The sequence below is a fragment of the Homo sapiens genome, chromosome 19 (assembly GCF_000001405.40).
Source record: "Homo sapiens chromosome 19, GRCh38.p14 Primary Assembly".
In the NCBI taxonomy this organism is placed as follows: Eukaryota; Metazoa; Chordata; class Mammalia; order Primates; family Hominidae; genus Homo; species Homo sapiens.
The window spans coordinates 31,210,913-31,223,242 of NC_000019.10; the positions used below are offsets into that span (position 1 = coordinate 31,210,913).

General features: G+C 42.0%; 1 protein-coding gene across 2 annotated transcripts in view, besides 1 other annotated feature; it reads right to left on the minus strand.

Annotated features, from left to right (window-relative positions):
• The window catches only part of TSHZ3 (teashirt zinc finger homeobox 3), a 201,002-nt gene that overhangs the window by 61,037 nt on the left and 127,635 nt on the right, over window positions 1-12,330 (minus strand). The window lies entirely within an intron of this gene.
• Window positions 709-1,209: an enhancer, noted in NCBI's record as "H3K4me1 hESC enhancer chr19:31702527-31703027 (GRCh37/hg19 assembly coordinates)". NCBI's record gives its function as "activates a minimal SCP1, AML or CMV promoter by ChIP-STARR-seq in naive H9 embryonic stem cells {active_cell/tissue: H9 hESC(naive)}" and the evidence as "EXISTENCE:reporter gene assay evidence [ECO:0000049][PMID:30033119]".

Consider the following 12,330-nt stretch of genomic DNA (forward strand, 5'->3'; position numbering starts at 1 on the left):
ACTGGCGGCAGATTTTAGCAATGTTTAATTGTAAGAAATAGCCATGTACTACTTAATTGCATAAGTAGGTGGAACATAAAAATCACAATTACATGAATTATATTAAGTAAAATATGTTAAAATAGTTTGTTTTTCGATGGTGGAATTTTATGGACACTATAATGAAAGTGAAGTACATTTTTAATTACCTAATTATTGCTATTTTCAAAGTCCATTTACACCATAATTGTTCCTGTTTTCATAGTCCAAAGAGTCCATGACAGAGAGACTCAGTGGGATCTAAAATAAGGATTCATTCTTCAGACAACTCCTGCTCATGGTTTCCCCCTATCTTTACAAAATCGATCTCAGATTCATTCAACATGCATTCAACAGGTAATTGTGTGTGTGAAATTGCTGGGAATGGTAGCAGGTTGCAGAGATGAGGGAGGGGTAGATTTCCAGCCCTCAAGCAACTCATAGTCTAATGACAGAGGTAAGATGGACTACAGCAGACGCAGAAGGGAAGCATGGTCAGGAGTTAGAGGGACACACCAACTTCTCTTGAGCGGATGGATGCATGACTGTGGGCTCCTGGACCCGGGGAAGAAGGCAGGACTGGGCTAGCCTGGGCTGGGGCAGGGGCAGTGGTGAGGAAGGGCATCCCAGGCTCCAGCAAGGACACAGAGGAAGGAAAAGCAGGTGGCATGAAGTGTTGTGAGGCAGACCAGCCCAGTAGCGGCAGACAGCCATGGGCAAATGGCAAAAAGAGATTCAGTGGCAAAGCCAGCCCAGGCCAGCCAGACCCTGGGAGCCGGCAGGGAGATTCCAGCAGTGAGGAGCGGGGAGTGTGGGGTTTCAATCAGTGGATTTGGGGTTCAGCATGAGCCCTTTGGCCTGGGGGTGACAAAGCAGGAGCTGCAGGACCCTGAGCACTGGAAGACAACAAGGCCAGTGACAGCAACAGAAGGATCAAGGGAAAGGTGATTTAAGTGAAAAACAATAAATTTGCTTCTGGACTGAGGCGTGTTGAGGTTATATAAAGATATCCAGGGTAGATGCTTGGAGGCATGTTTGCTCAGTAGATTGAGGCTTTTAAGCCTTTTAAACAAACAAACAAACAAATCCTTGAGAGCACTTTTAAGCTTTTCTTTCTCTCTTTTTTTTTTTCTTTTTTGATACCATAGGAAATTTTGAGATAAAACCGTGAAATGTTAGGGCAGTCCCTTACCACACATATTGAGTTAGTGTAATTTGTTAAAAAGCAAAAAAAGCAAAGGGTGGCCAGACGCCATGGCTCACACCTGTAATACCAGCAATTTGGGAGGCCAAGGCAGGAGAATTACTTGAGGTCAGGAGTTCGAGACCAGTCTGGCCAATATGGTGAAACCCTGTCTCTACTGAAAAGATGCAAAAATTAGCCGGGCGTGGTGGTGCACACCTGTAATTCCAGCTACTCGGGAGGCTGAGGCTGGAGAATCACTTGAACCTGGAAGTCGGAGGTTGCAGTGAGCCAAGATCACACCACTGCACTCCAGCCTGGGTGACAGAGTGAAACTGTGTCTCAAAAATAAAAATAAATAAAGAAAAATAAAAAGCAAAAGGCTCTCATTATGTATCATCAGGGGAATTAAAATCAAAACAACAATAAGATGCCACTACACCCCTGTTAAAATAGACAAAATCGAGAACACTGACAACTCCCAGTGCTTCCAAGAGTACTGGGGAACTCTGTTACCGGAACTCTGATTCAGTACCAATGGAAATGCAAAATGGAACAGCCACTTGGAAGACAGTTTGGTGGCTTCTTACAAAACTGAACATCCTCTTAGCATACCATCCTGCAATCCCACTCCTTGATGTTTACCCAAAGGAGATTAAAATTTATGTCTCACAAAAGGCACATGGGTGTTTATGGCAGGTTTATTCATAAGTATTAACACTTGAAAGCACCCAAGACTGCCTTCAGTAGGCAAATGGATAAATAAAATGTGGTACACCCAGACAACAGAATATTATTCAGCACTATAAAGACAGAAGCTAACAAGCCATGAAAAGACATGGGAGAATCTCAAAAGCCTATAATAAAGTGAAAGAAGCCAGTGTGAAAAGGCTATATATGGTACAATTTCAACCATACGACATTCTGGAAAAGGCAAACTATGGAGACAGTAAAAAGATTGACTGGGTGCGGTGGCTCAAGACTATAATCCTAGCACTTTGGGAGGCGGAGGCGGGTGGATTGCCTGAACTCAGGAGTTTGAGACCAGCCTGGGCAACATGGTGAAACCCCGTCTCTACTAAAATACAAAAAAATTAGCCGGGCGTGGCGTCATGCACCTGTAGTCCCAGCTACTCAGGAGGCTGAGGCAGGAGAATTGCTTGAACCTAGGAGGCAGAGGTTGCAGTGTGCCAATATCACACCACTGCACTCCAGCCTGAGCAACAGAGCGAGACTCTGTCTCAAAAAAAAAAAAAAAAAAAAAAAAAAAAAAAAAAATCAGTGGTGTCCAGGGGTAAGGAGGGAAGGATGAATAGGCAGAGCACAGAAGATTTTAGGACAGTGAAACTACTCTATAGGATACTATAATGGTGGATCCATGTCTTTGTACATTTGTGTAAACCCATAGAATGTACAACATCAAGAGTGAACACTGACATAGCTATGTACTTTGGGTGGTGATGATGGGTCAATGTAGGTTCCTCAGTTGTAACAAAGGTACCACCCTGGTGGGGGATGTTGGTAACGGGGTGATTGCATGTATGTGTAAGCAACAGGAGGTATATGGGAAATCTCTGTATCTCTTGTGAACCAAAAACTGAAATAAAGTCTATTTAAAAGAAAAAAACGCAATGGAGGAGAGGAGCAGATTACATAAAAGGAATGAGCGTGCTGGCACTTAGCGCACGTTTGGTGCCCAGTCCTCACTCTCATTCTCTTTAGAATAAGTCTACACTCTTTCTTCTGAGCCTCGAGCTGCCCCTGGAGTTTAGACAATTATCTTCCTTTGAGGATTTGAGAAAAGTTTTCAAATTGCGACAATTTAGGGGGATTTTATTTTTTATTTTATTCTTATTTCTCACTCCTTACTTCTTCCTGCACTTGGAATCGTTAACTTGTGCTGAGTGTGGCCGCCAGGCCATCACTGCTAGAAAGGACGAGAGATTCTTAGCAGTAGTCAGAGAGCACCCGTCGGGACCAGTCCTTCTAATTCTCAAACCAAATGAGGTTGAACAAACCCGGGTAAGTTTTGGCGCTTCCGGCTGGTTGTTCCAAATCTTTGAAAGCCCTCTGCGCACTCTCCGTCATTCATGTAATCATTTAAAATATGTCTTCCTGTACAGGAACTGGGTCCCAGCCGCAGGGTAACCAGAGGCTGCATGAGTCACTGTGGTTAAGACAGATCATTGAATTCTCAGCTGGCGTGACCTCATAGCTGGGAAGCCAGAGGGCCTGCGCCAGCCAAGAGGAGCTAGCTTTGCTGATGGTGTGGTGCAGGAAGTGACTCTGCCCCATACCTGAGTCCTTTCCATAGGAAGTGAGCTGAGTGGAGACAACAGCAGATTGAGAAAGCAAGAACAGAGTCTTTGATTCTTGAGTTTTATTCAGCTCAGGGAAAGACTGCATTCATACCTGGATAAGGCATTGCACCTAAGTTGACTGAGACTTATCACTTTCACATCCCAGGATTAAGTGTGGGGGTCCTGAAGACCTATTTCCTAAAGAATCAGGCAGGCCGGGCGTGGTGGCCCACGCCTGTAATCCCAGCACTTTGGGAGGCCAAGGCAGGCAGATCACGAGGCCAGGAAATCGAGACCATCCTGGCTAACACGGTGAAACCCCGTCTCTACTAAAAATACAAAAAATTAGCCGGGCGTGGTGGCGGGCGCCTGTAGTCCCAGCTACTCGGGAGGCTGAGGCAGGAGAATGGCGTGAACCCGGGAGGCGGAGCTTGCAGTGAGCGGAGATCCGGTCACTGCACTCCAGTCTGGGCGACAGAGCGAGACTCTGTCTCAGAAAAAAAAAAAAAAAAAAAAAAAGAACCGAGCATTCAACCCTCATCCATAGACCATTCCCTCTTTGCCAAAAATGTAACAAAGCAGGAGGGGATTAAAATAAAATTTTTAAAAAGTTGGCAGGTACCAAATATTGATACAAAAATGAAGATATTCGGTTGGTTGGCTATACATCTCCAGTGTAGGTGTTTCAAGCATTTCCCAGACATTAGTCATTTAGATACCACATTCAGAATTGTGGCGCTATATCATGTCAATACTACCCTGTACTCATATTTTTCTTTAATATGAGTCAGGTCTTTACTTAAATAAATTTACTCAAAAAGGAAAATTGCTGTCACTCACTGGGAAGTCAGAATCATCTGTCATAAATTGTAAATCACACAAATGAATTTAATGAAAACATTAAATTAGAAGCATCTGTCCACAGAGCACATAAAATAATCTTAAATAACATCAATGCTATACAAGTAAACAAGAAACATCAAAGAACATCAATGGTATAAGTGTATACAAGAAATATCCATGGTATAAGTGTAGACAAGAAATATCAGAAATAGGGTAAAAATGTGAGCTTTAAAAAACTAAAACTCTGAAGATAGCTGGTCCCAATTGTGTTGTTTTAACCATAAAATAAAATGATTTTTTACATTAATAGGAATATTTACAGAAAAAGGTTCTAAGCTGGGTGTGGTGGCTCACGCCTATAATCCCAGCACTTTAGGAGGCTGAGGCTGGCGGATCACGAGGTTAGGAGTTCAAGACCAGCCTGACCAACATGGTGAAACCCTGCCTCTATTACAAATAAAAAAATTAGCCGGGCATAGTGGTGTGTGCCTGTAATCCCAGCTACTTGGGAGGCTGAGGCAGGAGAATCACTTGAACCCGGGAGGCGGAGCTTGCAGTGAGCCGAGATCGTGCCCCTGCACTCCAGCCTTGGCGACAAAGCGAGACTCTGTCTCAAAAAAAAAGGTATTATAATTTTTTTCTATATATAGGATCTATAGTAGAGTTTTCCAATTGGCTTAAAAAAACTATTAAAAATTAAATTAAATTTATTATTAAATATTAAATATTAAATTAAATTAAAATTGTTAAATTTTGGAGGAAAATCACCAAATTCTCAAAGAAAAACCATACAATGCAATTACTTACAACTCACGTTCTTTATGATGGTGTATGTATATATGTATACAAGAAACATCAAAGAACATCAATGGTATAAGTGTATACAAGAAATATAATTCTTTATGATGGTGTTATGTCTGGCCATCAAATCGTTCTTAAATATTTAAACTTAGTCTGCCAGAATACTCAAGAAATTCATTTTAGGCCTTTTTGGGGGGGCTCCCAGCCCCCACCATGTCTCAAGCTGAGCACACAACTAGGACCCCTATCAGCAAGGCTCCTGGCCTCATGAAGACAGCACTTTGCTGCAAAAGGAGGGACCTAATGGCCATGCTAAGGAGACAGTAACACAAGGTAGTGTGGTACAGAGGGATGAGAGTCACCTGAGATCATCAGAAAGGCTTTCCCAGGAGGCAGCTTTTTTTTTTTTTTTTGAGACAGAGTCTCCGTCACCCAGGCTGGAGGGCAGTGGTGCAATCTCAGCTCACTGCAACCTCCACCTCCCTGGCTCAAGCAGTTCTCCTGCCTCAGCCTCCCGGGTAGCTGGGACTACAGGTATGTGCTACCACACCCAGCTAATTTTTGTATTTTTGTTTTGTTTTGTTTTGTTTTGTTTTTGAGATGGAGTCTCACTCTGCCACCCAGGCTGGAGTGCAGTGGTGCGATCTCGGCTCACTGCAAGCTCTGCCTCCCGGGTTCATGCGATTCTCCTGCCTCTCTCCCGAGTAGCTGGGACCACAGGTGCCCGCCACCACGCCTGGCCAATTTTTTTTATTTTTTATTTTTTATTTTTTATTTTTTTGTAGAGACATGGTTTCACCATGTTAGCCAGGATGGTCTCGATCTCCTGACCTTGTGATCTGCCTGCCTCAGCCTCCCAAAGTGCTGGGATTACAGGCATGAGCCACCGCGCCTGACCAATTTACCAATTTTTGTATTTTTAGTAGAGAAGGTGTTTCACCATGTTGGCCAGGCTGGTCTCGAACTCCTGACCTCAGGTGATCCACCCGCCTCAGCCTCCCAAAGTGCTGGGATTACAGGCATTAACCACCGCACCCCGCCCAGGAGGCAGCTTTTGAATGGAGACATGAAGGACTATGACACATCCAACCTGTGAAAATCTCTGTGTGCATGGCTGGGGTTAAGGGGCAGAGACAGCTAGTGGCAGAATGTTGTGGGCAGAGGAACAACAAGGACAAATGCCCAAGGTGGAACTTGTGTGCAAACCTTAAAGGAACAGAAAGAAATCCAGTGGTGCTGGAACAGGGCAACGGGGTGAACGAGGGGGAGATGGAGCAGATGAGGTCAAGGAGATGGGCAGGGCTGGTGGATGAAAGGCGAGAACTCCCTTCCAAAGGACAAACATTTATTTAAAGTGCAAAGCAAATGTTATAGATGGATTTTAAGAAAAGGGAGGTCGTAATCTAATTTACCTTTAAAAAAAAATAAACTAGACTTTATTTTAGAGCAGTTTTAGTTTTGCAGCAAAACTGAGCAGAAGGTACAGAGATTTCCCATGTGCCCCCTGCATTTGACATGCACAGCCTCCTCCATTATCGACAGCCCCCACCAGTTGGTCCTTTTGTTACAACTGATGAACTGCACTAACACATCACCATCACCCAGAATCCATAGTTTACGTAAGGGTTCGCTCTTGGTGTTGTGCATTCTACGAGTTTAGATCAATGCATAATGGCATGTATCCACCTACAAAGCAGTGTATAGAATCCTACAAAGCAGTGTCACTGCCCTGAAACTCCTCTGTGCTCTGCCTGTCATCCCTTCCTCCCCTCAACCCCTGATAACCACTGGTCTTTTCACTGTCTTTACAATTTTGCCTTTTCCAGAATGTCACACAGTTGGAATGATACAGTATGTAAAGCATGTAAAACACAAAACAATAAACTCCTTGAAGATAACATAGGAGAAAATCTAGATGGCCTAGGATTTGGTGAGGACTTTTTAGATCCAACACCAAAGGCACATTCCGTGAAAGAGAGAAATGATAAGCTGGACTTAATTAAAATTAAAAATTTCTCCTCTGTGAAAGACACTGCCAAGAGAATGAAAAGACAAGCCACAGACTGGGAGGAAATATTTGCAAAGGATATTATCTGAAAAAGGCCTGCTATCCAAAGTGTACAAGAACACTTAAAACTCAACAATCACAGAATAAACAATCCAGCTTAAAAATGGGCCAAAGACCTTAGCAGACACCTTACCAAAGAAGACAGAGATGGCAAATACCTATGTCATATGTCCTATGTCCTATGTCATATGTCATTAGGGAGATACAACTTAGAGCAACACTGAGATGCCACCACACATCTATTAGCATGGCTGAAATTGAGATCACTGACAACACTAAATGCTGGCAAGGATGTGGAGTAACAGGAACTTTCATTCATTGTTGGTAGAAATGCAAAATGGAACAGCCACTTTGGAAGACAATTTGGGGGTTTCTTATAAAACTAAATATACTCTTACCATGCCATCCTGCAGTCTCACTCCTAGATATACCCAAGAGAAGAGAAAACTTATGTCTACATAAAAACTCCCACGTGGATATGTGTAATAGGTTTATTAATAATTGCCAAAACTTTGAAGCAACCAAGTCATCCTTCAGTAGTTCAACGGATGAATAAACTGGTTCATCCAGACTATGGAATATTGTTCAGAGCTAAAAAGAAATGAGCTATCAGCCATAAAAAAGGCCTGGAGAAAACTTAAATGTATGTTACTAATTGGGGTGGGGGAAGCCAGTGTAAAAGGGCTACATGCTGTATGATTCTAACTTAAACCTTTAAATTTGTTATAACATTATTTTCTAAAGTGTCATGGCCCATTGGGAATTTCACTCCCCATGGTCTGAGGTAGTGGGATTGTAATCCGGCAGCATTGCTAATTTTTCTACTAATTTTACAGGCTTTGCCACACTGTGACTGTCAGGAGGTTCTTACTTGCAGAAGGAGATGCTTCAGGTACATGTTTGTACCAGAGCATTAGTAAGGCTGCATCACAGAGTGAGATGTGCATATCTTCAGGCTCTAAAGACTTAAGGGAAGTTCTTCGAAGCTGACAGTGAGGCCTTTATGCTTTCACCATACGTATAAAATCAGTGTTTCTGGATTGGACCCCAAAAATTCATTAGTTCTCTGCTCTCAGACAAGACACTTCTCCCAGTGGAGCTTGTTTTTCACTGCCTATGGAGAGACAGGTGAACAAAATGATTCCGTGTCTTGACCTATGACCTCTGTATCAGAGAATGACTCAGTAGCTACTGTGAATAAATAAACCCCTAAATCCAAAGGGCTCAACACAGCAGAAGTTCATTTTTCTTATCAAGTCCAATCAGTGGTAATGATGGCAGTGAGAAGTTTGCTTCAAGCAAACTTGAAGCAAACTTGTTCAGTGACTTGGCTTCTCTCTCTGTTGTGATTTTACCCTCTTCTAGAGCAGTTCTGGCCAGTAGAATATTCTATGGTGATGGAAATGTTCTATATTTCCTTGTCCAATACAATAGCCACTAAAGATGTATGGCTATGAAGCACTTGAAATGTGGCCTGTGCAATGGCAGAACTGAATTTTTAATTTTATTTAATTTTTTAAAGAAGAAAAACATTGAAGAACCTTTATTATCTCATTTCAGGACTTACTTTATGGTATTTAAATTAGGGAAAGTAATTAAGACAGTTCTATTAGCTTATGAATCAATGGAACAAACAGAATAGAGTCCAGAAGTGAATATATATGTGTATAGATATATATATGTATATATATAAAAAATATATATGTATATTCAAAATGTATACTGAATATATCTGGAATGTGTATAAGTATATAATTGAATATATATGGAATTTGATTACATTAAAATATATATATTCAATTGATCTTTGGAAAGATCAATTGATCAATTGATTATTTGATCAATTTAATCAATAGTCTTCAACTGATCTCTTGGAAAAAGATCAATTAAAGACGATTTCTCCCACTACCCATTTACCTTGTCAAGGCCAAGGTGGATGGATGGTGGAGAAAATCCTTTTCAACAAACAGTGGTAGAACAACTGGATATCTGTATGAAATAAAAATGGAGAGATAGATTTAAGAGGAACTATAACTATGCCACATTGGTGTATGTTATTTTTGTCAAACTGATTACTGAAGTGAGAAGCATCGGCTGCAACTTTAAGAGGAAGGAACAGGGGCCTGGAAACATTAAATAAAAACACAATAATCACATAGCAAGGAAATGCCAAAGGCAAGATTGAAATCCAGTTATCTGTCATCCAAAAGTTGCCCCATGATGGTATGGGAGACTTGCAGGAGAAAGGTAAAGAGATGAATAAGTGAAGGGCGACAGGTTGTAAGTTAGACAGCAACTGAGGTCTCTCACTGCCCCTTGTCTCTCTATATATGTATTTTGGGTCTCATCTAACTTCAATTTCACATTTTATTTTTATTTCATTGGGTTGGGGAAGGGAAGAAATCAAGAGTACTTGGGACTGTGATAGTTCTTTGTCTCTCATTTTTATTTCATTTAAATTAATTCAAATTTAAATAGCAACATATGATTAGTGGCTATTAGTAGCTAGAGCCTTGGCGCCCTTTCTATTCAGCTGGCAGGTAAGGAAGGATGATCACAGGGTAGGTTTTTAAAGGGCCAGTCTGAGAAGTGGTGCACTTCACTTCCTTTTCCTTTCCTCTGGCTAACACCGAGTCACATGACCACACCTCACTGCAAAGGAGGCTGGGAAATGTAGTCTAGCTGTGTGCTCAGAAAGATGAAGGAACAGATTTTGGTGAGCACATAGCAATATTTATGACTCCAGGATTGAAATTTCAATGAAGACTGAAATGTGCACCACTTCCTTTTGAAGCAGCTACAGAAAGCAACAGGCAAATCCACCAAAAGTAGTTACATAAGAACAGCATAGATGCCAAACTAGTTAAAATGCCTAATTACAAATGTTTATTATCACCAGCAGTAACAAGACTAAGATCAGAGATGTGTATGCTCAACTATGTATATTCACCCAACATCTGTCACATGCCTACTTGGTATCAGATACTATGCCAGACACAGGGGATGCCATGATGGACAAGATATTATCTGCAAAATATAATTTTAATTTAACATGGCAGGTGTAGCATTAGAGGTAAGGGTAAAGTGCAATGAAAACTCAAGAAAAGGATGCTGAATTCTTTTGGTGGTGGATAGAAAGCCAATTTGGGCCAGGGTTTCCAATAGATATGTGCATGTGTATGAGTGCAGTGATACACATACCTTGAAAGACACTTTTTTGAGACACAGGAGTGTCAAGGAATAGGTGGTGGGGTGTCTTCAAATCAAAGTCAACAGAAAACACATGTCATAACTCCAACATGGATGTGCAGTTCTCCTTATGTCAAATTGGTGGCTGACCTAAATCCACTCCCGGCCTCAGCCATGTGCCCGAGGTCATCAGATACACTCCACATTCCTTCCACAGCATCACCACGATATCATCTGAAGGTTAGCTGGGCACATTGAATAGAAACCACTGTCTCTCCTCCAACCTCCCTTGGAGTTCCTTCTTCACCTCCCCTCTCCTGTAATGCTTTCTCTTCTTCCATGTTTGGTGGTAAGTTATTTACATGTCTACTCCCTAACACAAAATGGTGGCCTGTCGCTGGGCTTCAGTGTCCATGAGTTTATTATCTTAGCATTAACACGGTATCTGGCCCACTAAATATGGTGCACTTCCTGGTGGCTTGGTGACTCATAATCCCTTCACCTTACTTTCAATAATAGCATCCTAATGTGCTTCTGAAAGGTGAAAGGTTTACCTCGCCCTCTGTCTTGGGTCTTGTAAGACTGCAAGCCAAGGTGTCAAGAATGGGACCTTTGCAACCAGCCTCTCTTCAGCCCCAGGACTTTGAATCTGGAGTACAGTGACATGAGGTCAGGAAGTGGTTGGAGCTCATGGTCCCCTGACAGTGTACGTGGTTGAGTTTGCCTGGACCCCAGCTATACCTTGGTTGCAGTCTATTTTAAGCCAGGGTCTTTACCCTTCCCATCCATTCTTTGAGCCTCATAGAGATTTCCCATGAATTTTCTTCATCTATAGCTAGACTGTAAGAATTCCAATTTGTAGAATGTACATCTGTAAGTGCATATGGAACATGTTACTAATGAACGTCACAGAAGACTAAATGTAAAATCCCTCTTTATGGGCTAGTAGAATCTGTTTTACACAGAAGCAAAATGAAACACATCCAGTATATATTGGAGTCCACAATGGGAATGGGGTCAGTCAAACGCATGTGACCAGATGTTATTTTCAATATGCTTGAAGATATTTTCACTTGACTCTTGAGATGAAAAGAGACAAGTAGGACTGAGACTTGGTACACACTTCACAACCTTCCTAGACTTGGAAAAACTTTCAAAGGCTCTAGAGTAAAGTCAAGGTTCCCATCTTCCTGTTCCCCAGTACTAATCAGAATGGATTCCTCCTTCCTTCAGGACCTCCTGTCCCTCTCCAGCTGCCATGCTCTCAGGAATATTTCACCCTTAAATGTTTCTCCCTCTGGACTGGAGCTTCAGCTTCAGTTTCTTTTCTGTATCTTCTACGGGGCTTAGCACAGGGACTTCCTTCATAGGAGGTACTCGGAAAATATTTGCTGAATTGAATGGAGTTAATTTGAATTATTGAATCCAGGTAAGTGGCCTTGGTAAGTCCATTAGCTTTGCCCTGGGAATCTCGTCTCTTGTCCTTCTCCATTTCTATTTTGCCATATAAACATGACAGAGAGTGATTCAGTAGTCTTCCCTATTCACTTCAGAGGGTTAGAAATGAGATGTGAAAATGACAGCAAGAAGACATGTCAATAATACCCATGTGGGGTCAGCGAGTCTCCCGCTGCCTGCCCAACCTTTGCAAGAAGAAAGCCATCAAGGCCACTTGAGTGGATCTCACACAATTCCCTTGACTCAAGATGACCATGAGGCTCAGGAGGTTGGCAGCTAGGATTTCTGTTGAGAGGGCATTAGAGATTCCATGTCCCTGTCACACTGATGGAAGCCCTGTTTCTCTTGGACATCTGAGCCTGTAGATTTTTCCTCTGCTCATCTCATGGAGCAGAATTTGTTTTTGGTGTACACTTAAAATATTAGGGTCAGCTAATAAAATAATAAGAATCAAAGGTTTACCAACTCAT